Source organism: Homo sapiens, chromosome 1 (assembly GCF_000001405.40).
Source record: "Homo sapiens chromosome 1, GRCh38.p14 Primary Assembly".
Lineage (NCBI taxonomy): Eukaryota > Metazoa > Chordata > Mammalia > Primates > Hominidae > Homo > Homo sapiens.
Genome location: NC_000001.11, coordinates 6,492,565 through 6,514,854, shown reverse-complemented (window position 1 = coordinate 6,514,854; position 22,290 = coordinate 6,492,565). Strand labels below are relative to the sequence as shown.

Sequence of the window (22,290 nt, the reverse complement as noted above, 5' to 3'; positions counted from 1 at the left end):
CTAAGGTGATCTACCTGCCTCAGCCTCTCCAAGTGCTGGGATTACAGGCTTGAGCCACCGCGGCTGGCCAATTTTCTTTTTTTTTTTTTCCTTCAAGATGGAGTCTTGCTCTGTCACCCAGGCTGGAGTGCAGTGGCATGATCTCGGCTCGCTGCAACCTCCGCCTCCCGGGTTCAAGCAATTCTCATGCCTCAGCCTCCCGAGTACCTGGGATTACAGGCACCTGCCACCATGCCCAGCTAATTTTTGTATTTTTAGTAGAGACAAGGTTTCACCATGTTGGCCAGGCTGATCTGGAACTCCTGACCTCGTGATCTGCCTGCCTCAGCCTCCGAAAGTGCTGGGATTATAGGCGTGAGCCACCACACCCGGCCATTTTCTTTCTTTTTCTTTTTTTTTTTGAGGCAGGGTCTTGCTCTGTCACCAAGGCTGGAGTGCAGTGGCACAATCACAACTCACTGCAGCCTTGACCTTCTGGGCTCAAGTCATCCTCTTCCGTAGCCTCCTGAGTAGCTGGGACCACAGGCGCATACCACCATGCCCAGCTAATTTTTAAACTTTTTGTAGAGACACGGTCTCACTATGTTGCCCAGCCTGGTCTCAACCTCCCAGGTTCCAGAGACCCACCCCAGCCTCCTGAGCAGCTGGGACCACAGCTGAGTGCCACCATGCCTGGCTAATTTTTAATTTTTTTTGTAGAGACAAGGTCTCAGCCATGTTGTCCAGTCTGGTCTTGAACTCTAGGGTCAAGGAGTCCTCCTGCCTCAGCTTCCCAAAGTGCTGAGACTGTAGACGTGAACCTCCATACCTGTCCCTGCTTTATGCTTCTCGAGATGTAAATGAACAGGATCCAGGCAGAACCCCTCCAGGCCCATATGGGAGGCTCTCAGGAAACAGCCTCCTCTGTAATGCCAAGATGGGTTGAGACCCCATAGCTGCCCTGCACAGAAACTGCCTCTGGAGGCTGGGCCTGTGTCCTGGGCTTAGCGGGGAAGGGCCCTTGACTTCTGTGGGCCAACAGTCAGACAAGGCCCATCCGAGGCAGCCTGGGTCTCTGCTGGGCATGTCCACAGTGACAGTAGTGACAGTTTCCAACCAACAGGACCAGTGTTTCGACAATGGGGTAGATGGTTTGAAATCCTAGCTGTTCTGGAAGTCCAGCCTGTCTTTTCCGTGGTTGGGAGCCCGGCCCAGGAGCCTTTGTTCCTTGGACAGACTTGGCCCTCGAGAGGGCCCCAGTCTCTCAGTTTGTCTGGCCAGGTTTAAAAGTCTGCAGTGGCCAGCAGCTGGCAGTCAGGCTGGAATGTAGCTGTGCTGGCTTGGCCGCAGACAGCCCCGAGGAACAGCCTTCATTTCCGCCTCTTCCCCTCACCTCAGGCTGAAAAATCCCCGGCAGGTGGCAGCTGCTGGGTCTTAGTCTGAGTCTCAGCTTCTCCAAGGGGACCAGGTTTGACCCCAGGCGGGCATCCAGGCATGTGGGCTGCCCTCTGGGCATGGTCCTACTTGGATGCCAGGGAGCCCTGCCACCTTGACACACAGGGTGAGGTGGAGCCCAGCTGGACCAAGCCTTGGGGTATTTGGAAGTCAGCCCTGGTGAGAGATGGTTGATTGCAAATTGATTCTAGTTCAAATCAATAAGCATTTCCCTGGCACCTGCCCTGGGCCAGGCTGGGCCTGGGCCCTGCATCCCCGATAGAGTCTAGATTCTAAGGGCTCCCAGGCTAGATGGAGCGAGGGGAGCTCCACAGCGGGATCCAGGCGTCAGTGAGAGGAGCTACCGATTCCACCAGGAACAGTGGGTGGGCGGGGCCCCAGGGTCTAAGTGGCCATGCCGGGGGCAGGCTTTTAATCAAGACAGTGACATTTGCAGACTTGCGTTCTGTTCTTCTGCTGTGACTGTTGGCCACTGTCTCTGAGTTTGGAGGGGACTCTCCTGGATTAATTTATTCACCCCCCCATGGCCACCCTGTGAGGCCTGTGAGGCCTACGCTGTATAAATGAGGAAACTGAGGCCCAACTTGTTCGAGATGGCACAGCCGGCAGGAGCTGGAGCTGGGATTTGAACCCGGGGAGCCCGGCTGGTTCTGGAGGCTGTGTTGGAGGGGGTAAATGTGAGACGGGGAGGGACTGAGGCAGGGCGGTGGTGGCCTGAGGCTGTGCCAGCGCAGGGCAGGGCTGATGGCACTGAAAGACATCCTGGAGACAGAGCTTAGAACAGTGTGGGAGCTGGTTTGTGGTCGGCCCGCCCCAGGCTGCAGTTGTCCCGAGGCTGCAGCTGGTGGTTGGGTGGGTGATGATGGTCCGGCCAGATGCTGGGCAGTGACTGGGCCTCCCACCCTGCTGGTGAGCCGAGTGGGCCTGAGGGCCCCACTGTCTGGCTTCCCTGCCCCCCACACACTCGGTAGCCCGGGGAGGGGCCCATGCCAGTGGGCTCGAAGGTCAGGGAGGTTTGTCCAGGCCTGAATGGCTCCCAGAGTCCAAGTCAGGGGGCACATCTGGGGCTGGGAGAAGCCCACTTGAGCTCACGTGGCCTCAGGGCTTGAACAGTGCTGAGCAGGAAGGACAACTCGCTCGGCCTGGGATGACCCCACAGCATGTGGAGCTCAAATATCTCGGCTGTGAAGGAGGAGCCAATGGTATGGAGGGTGGTGGACAGACCCTGCGGCAGCACCCAACCCCTTCCGAGCGACATGGGCAGGTCTCCAGGCGTCCCGAGCCTCCGCTTCCTCCTCTGTAAAACGGGGTGATGGTGATCCAATCACAGGGCCACTGGGTAGATTAAAGGAGATGCCACCTTGAAGGCCCTTGGTCCAGAGTCCTGGTATAATACATAGGACACCGGCAGATGTTAGTGTCCCTGCTGTAAGGACAGCCAGGGAAAGGGGGCTGAGAGGGTCCCTGGCCCAGCAGGAGTCTGTTCCTGAGCACAGGGAAGAGAGTAGCACGGGCTCCCCGGCTTCCAAGGGCCTCTCCCCTGCCCGGCCCTGGGCTTCCTGCCAGCAGAACCCTCTCCCCCTTCCTCTATTCAGGCCATAGTGGCAGTCACACACTCACTCTCTGCAGTGCTGGGGGCAGCCTCTCTGGGGGGGCTGCAGTCAGGCAGCCTGCAGTGCCCACTCCAGGCCTGGAGGTGAAGCCACTGCATGGCTCTGCCGGCCCAGTCCTCGCTCTGTGAGCCCTGTCGTGGCCCTGCTGCCTCAGTCCCCCATCTCACATGCCTCAGTCCCAGCGCCTGGGGGCCCTGAGGATTGGAGAAAGGCCTGTCTGGGCAGCACAGGAGTGTGTGGGACCCCTCTCGGATCCCTCCTGTCTTGGGGGCGGTGGGCATCGGCAGCTGCTGGGTGACCGCCAGCCCCCTTCAGACGTTTCTCTCGGGCTTGCCAGGCTCCAAGCGGGGTCCTTTCATACAGGCAGCCTCATTTAATCACCCTAGTCGGGGCTTAGGATTGTCTCCATTTTACAGAGGAGGAAACCCAGGCTGGAGGAGTCAGTGACCGTCCTTGTTGGTGGTGCCTGTCCTCTTTGGTCCATCCCCCACCCCAGCAGCACCCAGGGCTGGCACAGGGCCCATCAGAGACTGTGGGGAGGGGAGGGTGTTGGGGGCTAAGGCTGAGGCCTGGTTGAAGCTCAAGGACGGGCTGGCCAGGGGCCAGGTGGTTGTGGCCCAGGTTTCCACCAGCATCTTCCAAACAAATGGACTGGCAGATGGGCTGGGGCACTGGACCCACGCATCTGGCCTTCAGAATTGTTTAACTTTTTTTTTTTTTTGACACAGTTTCACTCGGTCGCTGAGGCTGGAGTGTAGTGGCGCGATCTCGGCTCACTACAACTTCTGCCTCCCAGGTTCAAGCGACTCTCCTGCCTCAGCCTCCTGAGTAGCTGAGATTACGGGCACCTGCCACCACACTTGGCTAATTTTTGTATTTTTAGTAGAGACGGGATGTCATCATGTTGGCCAGGCTAGTCTCGAACTCCTGACCTAAAGTGATCCCCACCCGCCTTGGCCTCCCAAAGTGCTGGGATTGTAGGCATGAGCCACTGTGCCCAGCCCAGAATTGTTTAATTTGGAGGAAGGGTCTGTGCTGCCCGCACCACGCCCTGTTCACCCCTCCCACAGGTGCTGACACTGGGCCCACTGCTTGCTGGCTGGTGGGTTGGCCTCCGCCCCACCTGGCCCCCGCCCCCAGGGTCACTATCAGGTATTGGCCCTGTAGGGTTCTCAGCCTGTGCCTCCAGAGGGCAGAGGCAGATTCTTTTCTTTTTTGGAGACAGAGTCTCATTCTGTCACCCAGGCTAGATTGCAGTGGCATGATCTCAGCTCACTGCAACCTCTGCATCCCAGGTTAAAGCAATTCTCTGCCTCAGCCTCCCAAGTAGTTGGGATTACAGGTGCCTGCCACCCCTCCTGGCTAATTTTTGTATTTTTAGTAGAGACGGGGTTTCATCATCTTGGCCAGGCTGGTCTTGAACTCCTGACCTCGTGATCCACCTGCCTTGGCCTCCCAAAGTGCTGGGATTACAGGCGTGAGCCACTGTGCCCGGCCGGGCAGAGGCAGATTCTTCTTTTTACTTGGCCTGGTGGAGCGTTTGGGGAGGGCCTGGCCAGAAGAACAGAGACAGGAGAGCCAGAGGGCAGGGGGAGTGGCTAGCGCCCACTCTCTCCAGATTACATAATGGGGCTCTGCAGCCTGGCCTGTGCAGAAACACTCACCCACAGCATGGCTGCCTGGGTGCTTCTCATGAGAGCCGGGTAGCTAGAACTGGGCATGGCGGCCCCGCATGCACGCAGCTGGCTCTCCCCGGCTGCCCTGGGGGTCCAGACAGGCCTCCTCAGACACCGGGAGAGGAAGGGAGGAATGTGGTTACCTGCACCTGGGGCCCTGGGGTCCACAAGAGGCCACAGTGGGCCTTGCCTGGGGACGGGGAGGAACGGGGCTCTTGTTGGGTACAGGGACTCCCCACCAAGTCTATCCCTTTGGGGTGAGCACTCACCCTGCGCCAGGCTCCCTGCTAAGCCCTGTGCGTGCAGGGTCTTGTGGAGATGACACCCTGGGGGGCTCTCTCCTTAACCCATTTTACAGATGTGGAATCGGGAAGTGTCACGGCCGAGGCTGCCCAGCTTGGGAGGCAGAAGCCTAACCCTGAACCAAGCCCTCCCCTGCCGGGGGCTGCCCTCAGAAAACCCCTGCAGTGGGAAGGGGTCATCCAGGGTGGTTGAGGGGAGAAAGGATGTTCAGGGGCCCGTGGAGCCCCCAGCCTGTGAGCTTAGGCAGGAAAAGTGCCCCAGAGCCTACGTCTCCCGAGTGGCCGTGGCTTCCTGGCGTGGGGGTCGATGGCCGGGTCCTGCCACCTGTTTCTCTTCCTCTTTTGGCCCCTTACTCAGCGAGACCTTGCGGGGGTGGACCCTGCTTGGGTCCTCCCTCACTTGGCACTTCCGCTCTCAAGGAAACAGCTGTAGTTTGCAGAGGACTCGCCCCCTCCCCATGTCCAAGGCCATTGCCAGGAACGGGATGAAGCGGGCCCTTGTCTTTAGCCCCTGTCCCTCTGCCTGTCCTGGTTCCAGCCCCAGGCCAGGGGATGCTCACTGGAGCACAGAAGGAACCAGAGGTGGGACGAGAGGCAAATCTTAGGGTCTCCGGGCCCAGGGCCACAGCTCCCAGCCCCAGGGGCAGCCCGCGTGAGGGCACAAACCAATTGTCTCTGCTCCCCTGGGATCTTCCTGTCCAGAGGCCGTGAGGCTTCCAGGGGACTGAGTCCCCCGAGATAGGTCTGGGGCTGTGGGAGAGCAGCCCTCCAGCTGAGGGCCCGCCTGCCTCTCTCGGGCCTCTAGCTCCCTGTCTGTACCCAGCAGTGACTTCGAGAGGCGCTACAGGTGGGTGAGGAGGGCCAGGCCTAGAGCGGGGTGGGCAGTGCGGCCAGCAGTGTGTGTACCGCTCTGGGGCTCAGCCCTGGCTCTCCCTCTTCCTAGCTCTGTGTGGCCCTGGGCAAGTTGCCTGTCATGGCCTCAGCTTCTCCATCTCTGTGGTGGGGACAGTAGCACCTGCTATTGGGGATGAAGTGTGGATTGGAGATGATGTGTGAATAGTGCTTGCTCAGTATGGCATTGGGCCATGGTAAGTGGAGAGCCTGCCTGAGGCTGGGCACACAACAGAATGCAAGACAGACAGCTGTCCCTGAAGGCACCAAGAGCAACCCCCGTGTTTGTCAGCGGCATCGCTCGTCAGTCTTGTTTCCTGGTTTTCCCCAGACCCGAGGAAAAGGCCCAGGTGTGTCTACCTGCCTTGGACAGCTGCTGCCTCAGAGAGAGGGGCTGGCGCTGCACCCTCGAGCACTGTGGGGGTCCGCTTCACTGGCCTGGGGGGGCCTCCCCTGACCCACTGGGGCTGCCTCTGCCTTCCTGCATCGGGAGGCTGGGTGGGGGACCCTCTAGCCTTGTATGGAAGGAGCGTGGGAGACAGAGGAGGACAGCCGGGCAGCAGGAACAGCACAAGCGAAGGTGGGAGGTGGGAGGCAGGAGGCACATTTGGAGGCAGAGGGAACACAGAAGATGATGCTCCGTGTGGTCAGGATGGAGGGTGGAGCCCGGCCTCCTCCTCTTGGCATCCAGGGCTGCAGCCCCTCAGGAGGGTTCAGCCTCCGAGCCCGAAATGGATGCCTGGGAGTGGGGCCCCAGGTGACCGCTGCAGCAGGGGCGTCCCCTTGTGCTCAGCCCACAGTTGAGGGTAGGAAGGAGTCTCTGCTGCACCCAGGCGGGGATGTTCTGGGGTTGGCTGTCCTAAAATAATAACCAGGTGTGGCTCCCACCAAGCCCAGACAAAGAGGGGCCGAGGCTGGGTAAAGGCTCTAGGACCCACCCCACTGGCCCTGGCCTCTGCTATGGTGGGTCTGAGACAGAGATGGCTGGCCAGGCCATGGATGGTCCTATTCCCTAAGCCTCAGTCTGACACCCCCAGGCAGGCCACTTGCCACATGAACACGAGCCAGGGACACCCCCAGCTCCTGTGGGCTCAGGCCCAGGTCGTGTGGGTGCCAGTGATGAAGGCCAAGGGCCTGCGTTTGTCCTCCCTGGCCCCGTGCCGGCGCGGGAGGGGCCGGCCAGGCAGGCATATGGTTCGAATTATTCAAGCCACCTCTTGGCACCTTAGCCCTCAGCTGGGGGCGTGCAGGCTGCCTGGATGGCCACTCCAGCACCCCCTGCCACAGCCCTGGGGTGACCCCTCCATCCCCCCGCCCCCCGGAAACAGAGCCTTCTGCTGCCAGCTCCCTCTGCCTGGGCCTTGGGTCTCTGTTGCCAGGCATCTGGTCTGTTAGGAGAGCCAGCTCTGCCCTGGCTCTGCTCCTTCAGACCTGGCAGGCTGGGGGGGCACAGGTGGGGTAAGACAGAGGAGGCTCAGCAAAGCCTGGCTGGGGAGCCCAGTGCAAGCTGCCCTTGGCCCCGTTCAAGTCTGGATTTCTGAAGGGCTGCCCCATGGCCCTCTGATCACCCCCACCTTCTCCCCCAGCTGCTTGTTCAGGTCCCCAAGTTGGCTTTGAAGCTAGACAGTCTTGGGGTCAAATACAAGTTCTATTCCTTGTAAGCTGAGCCTCAGCTTCCTCATCTGTGCCATGAAGGAAGTGCCCACACACGCAGGGAAAGCCACAATGACCCTGCTGGGGCACAGGTCACGTGGATACCGTGGCAGAGGTCTCTCCACAGGAGGGCTGCCATAGGCTTTGAGTTGCTATTTTCTAGCTTGAACATTTTGCAGTTTGGACAACACTCTGGAATCAACTGACCAGTGGCTTTTCATTTCCCCGCCTGTCCGCTCGCTTTTTCTTCTTCTCATGGTTCTTTCTGTGAAGGGTCTGCACCCCCAGCCCTCTGACTTCCTCCAGCTCCACCCGCCGCTCGGGAGCAATGAGGCTCCCCTGAGGATGCCAGAGGTTCGGCTGCCTAGGGCTCTATGCCTGCGCTGCCATTGGTGTAGGCGACATGATCTGAAGGAGGAGGCAGCCTGGTGAAGTGTGGCCAGCCCCGAAAGGGAGCCCAGAGAGCAGAGCCCAGACCTCACAGGCAGGCTGAGGGTGAGGCCTGGCCCACAGCTCCTGCCCTGCTGGGGGGCCTCTGGGGGCCTCGGCTCAGTGGAGGTGAGGGACATGCCTTGAGCTTCCTGGGGAGGGTCCAGGCAGGAGCTGGAATCATCTCTAGGGGCAGCCCACGGCGTCCCCACAGGTGCTTCTGTTCCTCACTGAGAAATCCTGCAGGGTTCCACTGGGGCTGGGAGCGGGGTCACAGGTCAGGGGTGGGGAGCCGGAATTGCTCCTCGGGCAGCACATTTTTCTTCTCTGGAAACCTATCTTAGCAAAGAGACCACGAAACAATCGCACTCTTTTCCGGGCCTCTGTCGTCCCCAGACGGCCAGCCCGTCTCCTCGGTGGGGGCTCCGAGGGGGCCGGGAAGGCGAAATTTGTAAAATGTCTGTAGGAGGGGAAGAAAGGCGCTTTGTGTGGGGCCGGGGCCCTGGCCATTGGTCAGCTCTGAGGCCCCCAGCCGCTCCCAGAATGCTCCCCTTCCAGAGGAGGGAGCGCCTGCCAGCCGAGGCCAGCCCCAGTGGTCCCTGAAACCCCCTGCGCCCCTGCACTCCCTGCGTCCCGTCCCCAGGCCACCCAGCCTCCGAGGGCGCGGGCCAGGCGGGGCGGCCTCCCCTGGCCTCAGCATGTTTCTCTACTGGAGGAAGCGGGGCACCTACGAGCTGGAGGCCCTGCCCGGCGACCTGGCCGAGCTGGAGCTGGGGACGGTGGAGCGTTTCTCGTGGAGCTCCACCCTGGACATCATCGAGGACCTCGGGGGTAGGTGCGAACCCACCTCCCGGGAGGACTTTCAGCAGGCTCTGGCACCGGGCCTGCCCAGCCAGGGCCTGTAGCCCATTCACACACACATGCTGCTGACAGTCACTTGCTCCACGGTGGTGTGGGGGCCAGAGCCACTCCTGAGAGCTGCCGCTGGTGCAGGAGAGGACCCGGAAATGAGGACCCTGGGGGCCAGAGGGCAGGCAAGCAGCTGAGGAGGCTGTCCTTCCTCCAGGGCTGGCCTGGCTGGGCAGCGTGGGCCCTGCACTGGGCTTCAGGCCTGGCCTCTGCCTCTGCTCTCACCCCGCCCGCAAGATCAGGCCATGGTGTTTTCTCAGGGCTGGGTGGTGTAATGAGATGTTCTGGAACATTCACGTTCCAGGTCCCAGGACGTGGGTCATTTCTCCTTTTGTCCCCATTTTACAGATGAGGAAACAGAGGTACAGGGAGTTTAAGCCCCTGAAGAGGCAGGATGAGCTCTCGGGGACGCTGAGCCCCGTGGCTTGTGTTTAGAGGGGTGGGACGTTGGACTGCTCCTGGGGGTGAGAGGTTGGGGAGCTGTGAATGGGAATAATGATGCCTTGGGGGTCACTGGGAGGCTGAGAGCACTAATGGGGATGACACACAGGGAGCTTCAAACAGCGGTGGCAGAGGCAGGGCGCACCTGTGCTGGCTGTCGGATGCCCATTCTGTCCGCTCAGCTCAGCTGGTCGGCACCGTAGGCTGGTCGGCATCGTGGGCTGGTCGGTACTGTAGGCTGGTCGGCACAGTGGGCTGACCGGCACTGTGGGCTGGGGACCTAGCTCTGTCAGGGAGCTTTGGTGCAGTGACAGAAACTTGAGTCCGGTCCGCAGAAGCTACCGGAGCGCTGATCTCCAGCTCCCAGCACTGTGGAACTGTCTGGGGCCGGGGCCTGGGCCTGGGTTCTCTTCTCCATTAGCCTCATCCTCGGGCCCAGGAGCTGGCCTCCCCCAGGCCACAAGCCCAGGGAGCAGGAGCCTGTCCTGGATGAGTCTCCCCAGGCTGGCGTGGTCCTTCCCTGAGCCCATCCGTGAGGCCAGAGGCAGGGAGAGTGACGGTTCAGCCTGCGGTCCACATTGGGAGGCAAGAGGGAGCCCGCAGACCATACAGCGAAGGGTTTTGAAAAGGGAGGTGTAGGCTGGGCACGGTGGCTCATGCCTGTAATCCCAGCACTTTGGGAGGCCGAGGCAGGCGGATCACGAGGTCAGGGAATCGAGACCAGCCTGACTAACACGGTGAAACCCCGTCTCTACTAAAAACACAAAAAATTAGCTGGGCGTGGTGGCGGGCGCCTGTAGTCCCAGTTACTCCGGAGGCTGAGGCAGGAGAATGGCGTGAACCCGGGAGGTGTAGTTTGCAGTGAGCCAAGATTGTGCCACTGCACTCCAGCATGGGTGACAGAGCGAGACTCCATCTCAAAAAAAAAAAAAAAGAAAAAAAAAGAGAGAAGGGAAGTGCTGCTCCCAGGAGAGAGGACGATGCCGGGTGGGCATGAAGGCCAGGCGTCCCTGCCTGTGACCAGCCCCCCACTGTGGAGGAGGGGGAATGTGGCTGCTTGTCAGGAGAGGCAGGTACAGTGTCCCACAGGCCCCAGCAACTCCAGGCCCCATCGGGACGTGCGCAGAAGGCAGGGAGGGCAGGACATGAGAGGGGCGGCCCAGCTGCCCAGCTGGTGGAGGCAGTGGGGATGCGGGAGGCAGCACGGGATGTGGGGGTGGGGTGAGGAGGAGTGTGGCAGCTGATGTTGGGGGGGCAAATCTCCCCTCCACCCTCAGCCGGGCACTGTCCTGGAGTCGGAGGGTGGGATCGGGGGCAGGCTGCTCTATTTCTTCACCCGGCAGCTTCCTGCCTACCTGAGGCAGGTACGGTGCTACAGGACCCAACAGAGCCAGAGACTTGACCCAGGTCGTTTAGCCACCCAGCCCCAAGCCAGCAGGGCCAGCCAATGGGAGCCTGTGTCCCACCTCTCGCCCCCACTCAGACTGTGCTCCCCTTGGCAGGGTGGGGCAAAGTGGGGCTGCTCGCCGTCTGCAGAGGCAGGCCCTCCCTGGGCTCTCTTAGTTGTTCTGTACATCTCAGTCATCCTGCTGGTCCCTCCCCTTGGGATGCCCTCACGGCTCAGATGCAGGAATCACATCTATGAAGCTGCCTGTCTCTCCTGCCTCTGGGGCAGGCGGCTCCTGCTTCTGGGGTTTCACAGCTCTGGGGCCCCTTGATCACACTGGCCACAGAGCTAACGTAGAGAGGGCATACCCAGTGCCAAGTGCTCTTTATTTTTCTCTTTAAGACAGGGTAGGCCGGGCACGGTGGCTTATGCCTGTAATCCCAGCACTTTGCTAGGCCGAGGCGGGTGGATCACCTAAGGTCAGGACTTCAAGACCAACCTGGCCAGCATGGTGAAACCATGTGTCTACTAAAAAATACAAAAAATTAGCCAGGCATGGTGGCAGGCACCTGTAATCCCAGCTACTTGGGAGGCTGAGGCAGGAGAATCACTTGAACCCGGGAGGCAGAGGTTCAGTGAGCCGAGATCATACCATTGCACTCCATCCTGGGTGACAAGAGCAAAACTCCATCTGAAAAAAAAAAAAAAAAAAGACAGGGTTGTCTTGCTCTGTTACCCAGGCTGGAGTGCAGTGGCGAGATCACAGCTCACTGCATCTGACCTGAAGCAGCACTCCTGCCTCAGCCTCCCAAGCAGCTGGGACTGCAGGTGCACACCACCAGGCCCTGCTGGTTTTTTAATGTTTTTGTAGAGATGGAGTCTCTCTATGTTGCCCAGGCTGGTCTTGAGCATCTGGACTAAAATGATCCTTCTGCCTCCTTGGCTTCCCAAAGTGTTGGGATTATGGGTATAAGCCACCATGTCCAGCCTCAAAGCTCTTTAAAACTAGGCTCCTGGAATATCCATGCCCACTCTCTGAGTCAAGGCCATTCTTGGAATCCCCTTTATCCTGGTGAGGTGTGGCGAGGCCTTTGAGATCCCAAGTGGTGGCACCCAGATGCACCATGCACACCCTCAGCCTGAGCACCAGAACTGAGACCTGTTCACCCGTGTGTGCCTGCCCCAGCTCTCCCCGGGGCCGGCAGAGAGGCGCCGGGGGGCTGCACACAGCGGCTGGGTCACAGCACGTGAACAGGTCTCATGCATGAGCTGAGGCGGTCGGGTGGGTGAGCCTGGGCACACGGCTGTCTGTGTGGGCTCTGTCCTCTGTGCCAGCCAGACCCTGGCCGGGGCCCATGCAGGGTGGGCCGATGCCAGCCCTGCCTGTGATGGGGGTGGGACTGGCGCTTGGAGTGTGACTGTCGGGAATTGGGATCTCATAGCTATTTCTGCAGCCCCGCTCCTGTTCCGCCCTTGGTCACTCTCGGTTCCTCTGAGGAACCTCTGGAGGAAGCCCACGGGGGGCAGATGGGCAGGCGCCCGCAGTAGCCTCAGCCGGAGGAAGTGGCCGGCTGGCCCCAGGCCTGTGTGCAGAGCTGTGTGGACAGTTTCTTGGGCCCCAGGAAGGAATCCTGAATGTGTCCTCCCACCTCTTCTTACTGAGCTCGAGCAGTGTGGGTGGGTAGGGCTGTGTTCAGCTCTCCGGTCCCCGGGGACTACGCCAGCGGTGGTTCTGGGCTGTAGGCAGAAGCAGTGTCCTGGCCAAGGTCCATGCCCCTCCCTGCAGCTGGGTCCCTACTTCACTGACCTGCCCCAAGGTGCCCCATGGCGCTTTGGGAAGGGGATCAGAAACACATTTCCTTCCCAGGCCTCCAGTGACGCTCCAACCAGTGTCCTGCATAGGGAGTGGCGGATGTCCTGGGACCAGCAGCCATTTACCCAGGACATGCCCCTCTGGCGTTTGGCCAGGTTTGGGACAAATCTTGCCCTTCCCCAGGCTGCTGCGGCTAAGAGGTCCAGCCCCAGCATGGCCTGCAGCAGCTGCCCAGGCATGGACCGGCGCCCAGGAGGGTGGGGCTCACGCGGGAGGGGACATTCAAGGCCACAGCTGCTTCCTGAGAGGGGCAGCCTTTGCATGGCCAGGCCTGTGGTTGGGAGGTCGTGGGCAGGGAGGGCCTGTTTTCTTGAGACAGAAGGGTTCATCGGAGTGGAGGGTTCACAGGTGAGGGGCTACCCTGGAGAAAATGAGAACGAGGTGGTTTTCCATGCACTTGTGTCAGCCTGGGACCAGTGGGGAAAGGGGACACTCATGTCATGATGGGGGGACCAATTCACGTTTTCCAGACAGCTAATTGTGTCAGGCCCCATGGGAGCACTGTAGCCTGGCGGTTAGGAGCACAGGCTTGGAGGCTTACACACTCACAGCCTCGTTACTCTCATTACTTGTGTGACCTTGGGCAAATCTCTCTACCCTCCACGCCTCAGTTTCCTCATCTGTAAAATGGGGACAATGATCATTCCTCTACACAGAGTTAGATGGTGAAACGACACCATCTATGGACAGCAGAGTTCCCAGCAGGTGGTTGGCAAGTGAGAGCTGTGGTCATTGTGTGTCGTTCCTGAAGCCGTCTGATGGGGAAGACAGGTCGGTGTTGGTTCAAAGGTTCAAGACAGTGGGAGTCCAGCAAGGACACGTTCACCTGGAACTGGGATATGTGACAATAGGGAGGCCTTCCTGAAGGCAGCAGCCTTCAATCTGGGCCTTGAAGAGTGGGCAGGATGGCAGCAGACAGCGATGGGAGGATGCTGGGGGAGGGCAAAGGAATAGCACCAAGAAGGGCTGGGCTGGGGTCAGAAGCTCAGTTGTGTCCGGCAAGTAGCGGAGTGAGGGGCCTGCGGTGGGGCGACGGAGTGGCGTGGACTGTGGGGGCTGGAAGCATTTGTGCTGATCCGAGGCAGACACAGCTCGGGAGCTGGAGCCGTCCAGAACATGGGTCCAGAGCTGCCGGGCTCCTCTGGTTTGTCAAGAGAAGCCAGAAATATGGACTTTTATGTGAAATCTCCTGACTTTTCAAAGTTGGCAACCAATTTAAATTCTTCCGAAACCCTGTTCTCAGCCAAACAAAACATGTCTGCCGGCCGTTCTGCCCGCGCCCCGAGGCCCAGTTCTGGTAGAGATCATGTTCAGGACAAAGCCCAAGTGGCCTCCTGCGACTGAGACAGGGTCGGGGGAGAACTGGCGAGTAGGCTCCTCTGCCTGGCCAAGGGCCCTGGTCTCCCTGCGACGGGAGGTGGGGGAGCCAGGAGGGCAGCTGGGCTGTTGCGCACGTGGGGAGGCAGTGTCTGGCATGCAGTGGCGGGAGCTCAGGGTTCCAGGTCCGCCTAGGGACGAGTGGAGTGCAGGGTTCCAGGTCTGCCTCAAGGGGGGTAGTTCATGGTTCCAGGTCTGGCTAGGGGTGGGGGGAGTTCAGGGTTCCAGGTTTGCTTAGCGGAGGGGGTAGTTCAGGGTTCTAGGTCTGCTTAGGGGAGGGGGGAGTTCAAGATTCCAGGTCTGCCTGGAGGGGAGGTTCAGGGTTCCAGGTTTGCTTAGCGGAGGGGGGAGTTCAGGGTTCCAGGTCTGCTTAGGGTCGGGCTGAGGTCGGGGAGCAGACACCGCTTAGGCTGGTCCACATAAGAGGGGTTGCTACGAAGAGGCAGGGCTCCCAAGGGAAGCCCGGGGCAGGCAGAGGAGGCCGCCCCCCTGCCACCCCGAGAGCTGCCCACTCTCACAAAGCTGCCTTCTCCTGCCCTGTCTGCTCTGGGGTGATTTCCACTGAGGGGCTGCTCCCCTTTTTCCTGCTCCCCAACAATCTTGGGGCATCGTACCTATTTGGACTGACTCTCAGTGGACTCAAGTCTCCAGGGCCCAGTAGTAGTCCTGCCTGTGGGCTCCTATCAGGAAGGGGATCGGAATCATGTTTCCTTCCCAGGCCTGTCTCAATTCATAGTCTCAGGAGAGCAAATCTGACTGGCTGAGCCAGGCTATGTAGATGGCTCAACAACTATAATCTCAGCACTTTAGGAGGCCAAGGCAGGAGGATCCCTTGAAGCCAGGAGTTCGAGACCAGCCTGGGAAACATAGTGAGACCTCCGTTGCTATAAAAAAATTAAAAAGTTAGCCAGGTATGGTGGTGTGCACCGGTGGTCCCAGCTACTCGGTAGGCTGACGTGGGAAGATCACTTGTGCCCAGGAGGTCGAGGCTGCAGTGAGCCCTGATCACAACACTGCACTCCAGCCTGGGTAACAGAGCAAGACCCTGTCTCAAAAAATAAATTTTAAATTAAATTAAATTAAGAAAAACCCAGCTATGTCCAGGGTACGCTATCACCTGATACAGTATGTCCCCCTTACCAGGCCCACCCTTTCCTCGAAGGCTGTAGATGGGGATAGGTCACCTGCAGGAGAGCTCATGACAGGCCTATGGTGGGGACTGCTTGTCCTGACCTCACCCCCAAGCCCCACAGGCCCCACTCTGGGCCCTGAGAGCTACCAGGGTCCTGATGGATTTTTCTTCGTGTCTGCAGTCTCCAGGAGAGAGGAGCTCGCCTACGCAATGCAGGAAGTTGCAGCTTTAGAGCAGAGCCCAGAGGGAGCTACCTCCCAGGGGAGCCAGGACCAGGGGATCAGGAGTGTAGGGTCTAGAAGGCAGGGTGAGCACCTGGAGCCTGCTGAGACCAGGGGTCAGAGGCCGGAGAGTTCAGGCAGGTAGACCCCAGTGCCAGGAAGTACCAGGCAAAGGACAAGGAATTCCAGAACCCAAGTGGCATAGAGGCCACAGGATAGTCAGGCCCGATGGTGGCTGTGACCTGAGCAGTCATGGGGGGATCTAGGGAGCTGGTGAGGCAGACCCAGTGGCAGAAGACATGGCCCGGAGCCTTCAGAATACGGGGCTACAATCCAGAGGCCCTGGGGCAAAGGGTGTGAGAATCCAACCCCAGGCTCAGAGTTTTGAGAACGCAGGGGCCTGGAAACTTTCTGGGCGGACAGCAGATGTTGTCCTGCTCAGCTGGAGAAGTCCCAGGCTGGACGCATGGGAAACTCCCACAAAGCTGGCTGAGGGCTCCAGGTCCCCGTGGAAACACAGATGGCAGAGGAGGGCCTGCTGGAGTCATGGCAGACAAAAGCCCCGAACCCCACTCCACCCTCAAGTCAGCTTCCTCCCAGCAGGCAGGGACCTCGCCACAGTCCTCACAGGGCCGTCTCTTGCCTCGGCTGCCTCCACCTCCAGCCTAGAGGCAGGACAGGCATCGCTGGCCCCTTGGATGGCTGAGAGCAGAGACTCGGAGAGGGAAATGAGCACAGTGTGGGGGTGAGGCTGGGCTGGGCCTGAGGATCCTGAGAGTTCCCGTAGGCTGTGCACTGAGGAGGCCCAGGGCCCCGGGCAGCTGCTTCCCTCTCAGCCTGGAGGCCCCCGGGGTGCCTGTGGCAGCCCCTCCTCGAGAGCCCCCTCCCCAGGGTCATGCAGATGTGCTGCCCCCCAAAGGGCTACCCTGCCCACCAGGCCCCCTGTGAGCTCCCCAAGTCTTGTCAGGGTCACCAGTGAGTCCCCAGCACCCAGCTTAGAGCTTGGCTCATGGGGATCCTCAGAGGATCTTTAGTGTGTTTGCTGAATGAATCCAGAGAGCTCAGGAGACCCGGGATCCGTGCTACTTTGCTGTGCCAGGAGTCCTTGGGGCAGGCACCAGTTTCTGGTCACCTGTGAGTCCCAGGGCCGGACCCAGCCCATGTAAGGAGTCCATGCAGGGAGGCTCCAGCTGAGAGGCCTTCCAGTGAAGGGGTCAGGGAAGTCCACCCTTAGCCTTTGGGAGAGGGACCCGGCCCTGCTGGAAGCTGCATCTTCTATACCTAGGTCTTGTCGGCGCAATGCCTCCTGGTGCCAGTGTGCAGGGTGGGCTGGGGGTCCAGAGGCAGGCTCAGGAGCACTGAGCCCCCGCAGACTCTTGGCCACCTCTGCGAGGCTGTTTCTGTAGGGCAAAGGGTTTGCTATCTCCTGATGCCATTTACATAAACTACAGGACCGGGCAGACGAATCGATGTGTTGGAAGTCAGGGCGGCGGTGCCCTTGGGGGGACCGGTTGGCACGAGGGAGGTGGCGGGGGCTGGGGACTGGGTGGGGACGCTCTGCAGCTCGGTCTGGGCACAGGTTATTTTGTGAAAGTTTCCTGAAAATGTGTTGAGCTGTGCTCACAGGACAGGTGCACTTCTCTGTCCGCGTTTGCACTTCAATAAAGTTTAAAACTGAACCAGCAGAGGACATGCAGCAAGAGCCGTGGCAGGCGAGTCTCTCCCGGTGACAGCCCTCACCCTGCGCGGGGCAGCCTCCGTGTTGCCATGGAAACTGACCTCGGAGACAGCGATTCCGGGCTGGGGTGGGGGCTCTGCGTGGCTCCCGGCCTGCATTCCTGCGGACAGGCACCCTCCGCGTGGATGGCACCCTCCAGGACAGAGCCGTGCGCGCTTCCTGAGCCGCCCCGGTGCCCGCCCTCCGGGAGGTGGAGGCAGCCTCCGGACCGCAGCGCGCAGGGGCCGGGGAGCCGGGGAGGGAGGGGTGACACCGTCGGCGCCGAGGCCCGGCCGCGCTCCTGTCCCCCCGCCCCCCGCCCCCGAGGCGGGGCCGCCGCGGCTCCTCCCCGCCCACCTGCCCCGCCCGCCTCCCGTGCGAGGGTCCGGCGGCGGCGGCTCTGCGGCCTCCCAGTCCCCGGCGTCCCCGGCGCCCCCGCCCGCCGCCCGCCCCCCGCGCGGCACGGGGCCTGCTCCATGGGTGAGTGCAGGCGGGGACCCGGCGGACGCGGGGCGGGGTCCTGGGGGGCCGGGCCGGCTCCTAACCTCCTCCGGGGAGGGCCCGCTCCAGGCAAGGGGGTGGGCGCCGACCGGGCTTCGGGCCGCTCGTACCCAAACTCGGCCCCCAAGTCGGGGCCTGCCTCGGCAGCACCCCGCTTCTCCTCCCTCCCCCCGCCTCTCGCTGGTTGCGCCGCTCTGCCCCCACCGCGGTGCACTCCAGCCCCCAGGAAGAGAGGCAGCTTGGAGGGGGCCAAATTCAGGGTCAAAGATGAGTCTTGGGGAACGGGGGTCGCCCCAGACCTTCGGGGGCTCCTCTGTCTCTAAAGGGAGCGATGCAGGGCGTAAGGTTCTCAGGGATCTGGGATCTTGGAGCCCCTTCCCCCCAGCAGCCCTGCCGGGACCCCCTGGGAAGTCTGGGGCCCCAAAAGGTCACTGAGCGCTCCCCCACTTGTCCCCCAGACTAGAGGGACAGAGGGAGAGAGCAGCGTATTTCCAAAGATGTTTTCTCCCCGTGGAATCTGGATAATTTCCCTGAGGACTGCAGGAGAAAAGGGCTCTGCAAACGGATTCCCGTGCAGATAAGTTGGCATTTAAAAGAGAAAGGGACGCTGACCTCTTTTGAAGGGAGGACTGAGGAGATCACCCCACCCCTCCTCCGGTTGGGAGGCCAGTGGGGCCCAGGGGAGCCTGGGTGCCCCGCTGACTGATGCCCTCTGCTCCTCCCCTGCAGACGACCAGAGCCCCGCTGAAAAGAAGGGACTGCGCTGTCAGAACCCCGCCTGCATGGACAAGGGGCGGGCGGCCAAGGTAGGGAGGCTGGAGAGCCTGGGGACCCTCGGGGGCAGAGGGGCCAGGGCTCTAACTGCCCTTTCTATCCCAGCACCAGCTATCCACAGAGCCCTGGCACGGGCGCGGCTGGCTGGGCTGGGTTCAAGTGTAGGTGGGGCCACAGTGTGTCTGGTTTAGGAGGCAGAGGGCCTGCCCCCAGCTCAGGAACAGTGGAGTCGGGGGACTTCTACAAGAACAGGGGGGTGGAGTACCCCAAAGCCCTTTGCTGCACTGTGGTCCTAGCAGCCATTCTGAGGTGACAGGAGCTGTAGCCTTATGTCACGGATGAGGAAACTGAGGCTTAGCCAGGGGAAGTGGTCTCCCACGGTGCTGGTCCAGTGCCCAGATGGCACCCTTCCTGTTGAACTCAGCCACTCTTCAGGCCTGGGCATGGGTCTGAGATGCTTTGGGACTTGGCGAGTGTGACCATGGCCCTGGGGATGACAAAAGGAGGAAGGGGCCAGTTGATCCTGGAGTGCCAGGGCTTGGGAGCTGGGAGTGGGGCGAAGTATAAATCAGGGATAAAGGGGGCAGGAAGGAGGATAATAGTACTGGCTGGGCGCTTCTGCCTGTGATGTGCTGGGCTTAGTGCCACCCGCTTTCTGTGCCATATGCACTGATTGCGGCAGCTCTGCAGGGAAGGCATCGTCACCCCGTTTTCCAGATGAAGACACCAAGGTTCAGAGAGGTCCAGTGACTTGGCCAAGGCCCACAGCTCATGAGAGATGGAGCCGGGGTTTGGAGCCAGGTTTTGCCCCTCCCAGCATGCATTTACATGACAATAGTGACAACTGCGCAACTTAGCATCTGGCGCAGGCACCAGGACTCACTGACTCCTCCTCCGGCCTTCTGAGATGGTCCTGTCCTTATTCTCATTTACAGATGGGGAAACTGAGGCTCACTCAGGGACAGACTGCTAGGAAGTGGGAGAGCTGGGATTTGAACCCAGTACCCAGGTCTGTGTCATACCAGGGCCCGTGTTGTCTTCCATCATGTGTCTCAGCACTGCCAGCTGCAGGAAATGTAAAATGCCACCCCCCACCCCCCGCTCCCCTCCCGCACCTCCACCCAGACACACACACACTCGTTCTGCACAGGAGGGCCGTGGTGAGGGAACAGGGAGAACTGCTATGGGGCGGGGCGGGGAGGGGGCGGCCTCCAGTTGCCGTGGTCACCAGGCAGGGGGGCGGTGTGATGTCAGATACAATCTGCTGGCACGGATGGTGCCTGGCATTGGGCTCTGGTGTTGGCTGGTTGCCTCTTTCCCAGATGGGGGCTCCTGGCAACAAATTGGCCTCAGCTCCCCCCAATATACATCCTGCCAGAGGCCTGCGGAGCCCCGAGGCTTTTGCCTGACCTGAAGGGGCGGCTGGGGCAATAAGGCACACTGTCCCAGCCCCTCCTCTGGGCAGCTGCTCTCAGGGGGGGTCCTCAAGCTGCTCAGGCAGGGGCAGGGGTGGGATGGCCCAGCCTTCATAGAGGTGAGGCCTGGGAGAAGAGAGCTGGTCTCAGAGTGGGTATGGTCCCTCTGCAGCCTCCAGACCTCACCTCCAGCCCTGGCCTGCCTGGAACTTGGCACAGCTGACATTGGCATCAGCTGATGAGGGTCACCCAGCGTGCACGGGGAGAGTCTGGGCCCTGTCACTACTGGGACGCCCTTTGGGACAAATGGCACAGACTCACTGTAGGGGCAGAAATGCCTGAATTATCAGAGGCATAGAGAGCCAGTCAGGGAGGGCATCCTGGAGGAGGGGGCCTTTAATGGATGTGAAAACATGGATAGACAGAACAGAGGCAAGGGCAGTCCAGGAAGGGAGAGGCAGTGGTGGAGAGGAGGTGCGGGGCACTCAGATTTGGTAAGAGAAACAAAGAATAACATTGTCGATGATGATAATAATAACCACTACTGGCTGGGTGTGGTTGCTCATACCTGCGATCCCAGCACTGTGAGAGGCTGAGGCAGGAGGACTGCTTTAGCCCAGGAGTTTGAGGCCAACCTGGGCAATATAGGGAGACCTCTCTCTACTAAAATTAAAAAAAAGGCCTGGCGTGGTGGCTCACACCTGTAACCCCAGCACTTTGGGAGGCCAAGGCGGGCAGATTGCCTGAGCTCAGGAGTTCGAGACCAGCCTGGCCAACATGGCGAAACCCCATCTCTACTATAAATATAAAAATTAGCTGGGCATGGTGGTGGGTGCCTGTAATTCCAGCTACTCGGGAGGCTGAGGCAGGAGAATTGCCTGAACCTGGGAGGCAGAGGTTGCAGTGAACTGAGATCATGCCATTGCACTCCAGCCTGGGCAACAAGAGCAAGACTCCGTCTAAAAAAAAAAAAAAAAAAAAAAAAAAAAAATTAGCCAGGTGTGGTGGTGGGTACCTGTAATTCCAGCTACTGGGGAGGGTGAGGTGGGAGGATCATTTGAGCCTGGGACATTGAGGCTGCAGTGAGCCGTGATTGTGCCACTGCACTGCAGCCTGGGCAACAGAGCAAGACCCTGTCTCAAAAATAACAGGCCAGGCGCAGGGGCTCATGCCTGTAATCCCAGCACTTTGGGAGGCCAAGGTGGGCAGATCACTTGAGGTCAGGAGTTCGAGACTAGTCTGGGCAACATGGTGAAACCCCATCTCTACCAAAAATATAAAAAATAATTAGCCGGACATGGTGGCACACACCTGTAATCCCAGCTACTTAGGAGGCTGAGGCAGAAGAATCGCTTGGACCCTGGAGAAGGAGGTTGCAGTGAGCTGAGATCACGCAATTGCACTCCAGCCTGGGCAACAGAGCGAGACTCTGTCTCAAAAAACACCCAATAATAATAATAATAACAATTATTGCTGACCGAACATGTTTACATGCCAGGCGGGGCGTTAGGCCCTCCTGCTTGTCTCAGTGAAGCTTCTTGAGACCCTCAGGAGAACAGCGTTATTCTTATGACCACATGACTTGTAAGGAAACGGAGGCCCAGAGAGGTAGAGGAACTTGCCCACATCACACAGCATGATCGTCAGAGCCTGGCCTGCGTGAGGCTTGTCTGATCAAGAGCCCTATTCTTACTCTCCAGGATGTGACTAGCGTTTTGAAGGAGATGACTTCATTTATTCATTTACCAGACCAGCTCTGAGCATCTGTCGGTGCCAGGCCCAGTTCTAGGCCCAGGAGATCTCCAGAGAACAAAGGGGATGCCCTCCTGGAGGTGACATTCTAGCTGTGCTGGGAGGAAGGAAGGGAAGTGACCCTGGCTGGCCAAACTTCCCCCCAGGCTGCCCTGGCAAAGGACCAATTTCAGGCAGGGCTGGACCCTTCGGCTTCTGGGCCCACCCTTGATGTTTTATTTGAGGCTCTCCTGGGTGCTGGAGCTTCTGAGATGAATTTGCCATCTGTCCCCTACCTCCTGCCCCTGGAGTTCCCACTGGGAGGAGGGCTAACCAGGATGGGCTTCCTGGAGGCAACTGGAGTCCTGAGGATTAAAGAGGTACTGAGATGGAGGACAGCTGAGTGAGCAGGGGGGGACATTGGGGGCTATAAGGGGCAAGCGAGGCCAGGGGGCACAGGGAGAAGGGGACGGGAGGAGGGGGAGGCAGGCTGCACTAGGAGCACCTGCATGTCCAGATGAGGGGTCTGGACTGTGTGTCATGGAGACCCCAGGAGAGAAATGGCCCCTCCCCAGGATGAAGATATGTAGAGCAGTCCACACCTCTGAGCTCCAGGATCAAACCTACTTTTTTCCAGCTGTGCGACCCTGGGGAAGTCACTACACTTCTCTGAACCCCAGGTTCCTCATCTGGAAAATAACCCGGCAGCGAGGATTAAAAGAGGCCCATATATAACATGCTTAGCATAGAGCCTAGCACAGCGTAGGTGTGCAAGGTGTCCTGGGAGTGGGGGTAACAAAGTCACCTCTAGACT

The 22,290-nt window shown here is 60.0% G+C and overlaps 1 protein-coding gene across 3 annotated transcripts in view, besides 5 other annotated features; it reads left to right on the top strand.

Annotated features, from left to right (window-relative positions):
* The window catches only part of PLEKHG5 (pleckstrin homology and RhoGEF domain containing G5), a 52,971-nt gene that overhangs the window by 5,238 nt on the left and 25,443 nt on the right, over positions 1 to 22,290 (top strand). Inside the window, exons 1-2 of one of the 3 annotated variants that reach the window (NM_001042663.3) lie at positions 17,443 to 17,535; positions 18,286 to 18,362. In NM_001042663.3, the coding sequence (NP_001036128.2) occupies positions 18,339 to 18,362 (24 nt within the window). In that variant the 5' untranslated portion in view covers positions 17,443 to 17,535; positions 18,286 to 18,338. Of the gene's footprint in view, positions 1 to 17,442; positions 17,536 to 17,623; positions 17,897 to 18,285; positions 18,363 to 22,290 lie in introns of those variants that run through there. The other 2 variants (NM_001265592.2, NM_198681.4) reach the window with 2 other exon arrangements.
* Positions 2,481 to 3,295: an enhancer, noted in NCBI's record as "H3K4me1 hESC enhancer chr1:6571620-6572434 (GRCh37/hg19 assembly coordinates)". NCBI's record gives its function as "activates a minimal SCP1, AML or CMV promoter by ChIP-STARR-seq in primed H9 embryonic stem cells {active_cell/tissue: H9 hESC(primed)}" and the evidence as "EXISTENCE:reporter gene assay evidence [ECO:0000049][PMID:30033119]".
* Positions 7,558 to 8,058: an enhancer, noted in NCBI's record as "H3K4me1 hESC enhancer chr1:6566857-6567357 (GRCh37/hg19 assembly coordinates)". NCBI's record gives its function as "activates a minimal SCP1, AML or CMV promoter by ChIP-STARR-seq in naive H9 embryonic stem cells {active_cell/tissue: H9 hESC(naive)}" and the evidence as "EXISTENCE:reporter gene assay evidence [ECO:0000049][PMID:30033119]".
* Positions 11,621 to 12,350: an enhancer, noted in NCBI's record as "H3K4me1 hESC enhancer chr1:6562565-6563294 (GRCh37/hg19 assembly coordinates)". NCBI's record gives its function as "activates a minimal SCP1, AML or CMV promoter by ChIP-STARR-seq in naive H9 embryonic stem cells {active_cell/tissue: H9 hESC(naive)}" and the evidence as "EXISTENCE:reporter gene assay evidence [ECO:0000049][PMID:30033119]".
* Positions 16,986 to 17,075: a silencer, noted in NCBI's record as "silent region_161". NCBI's record gives its function as "represses an Ori minimal core promoter by ATAC-STARR-seq in GM12878 lymphoblastoid cells {active_cell/tissue: GM12878}" and the evidence as "EXISTENCE:reporter gene assay evidence [ECO:0000049][PMID:35858748]".
* Positions 18,779 to 19,534: an enhancer, noted in NCBI's record as "OCT4-H3K4me1 hESC enhancer chr1:6555381-6556136 (GRCh37/hg19 assembly coordinates)". NCBI's record gives its function as "activates a minimal SCP1, AML or CMV promoter by ChIP-STARR-seq in naive H9 embryonic stem cells {active_cell/tissue: H9 hESC(naive)}" and the evidence as "EXISTENCE:reporter gene assay evidence [ECO:0000049][PMID:30033119]".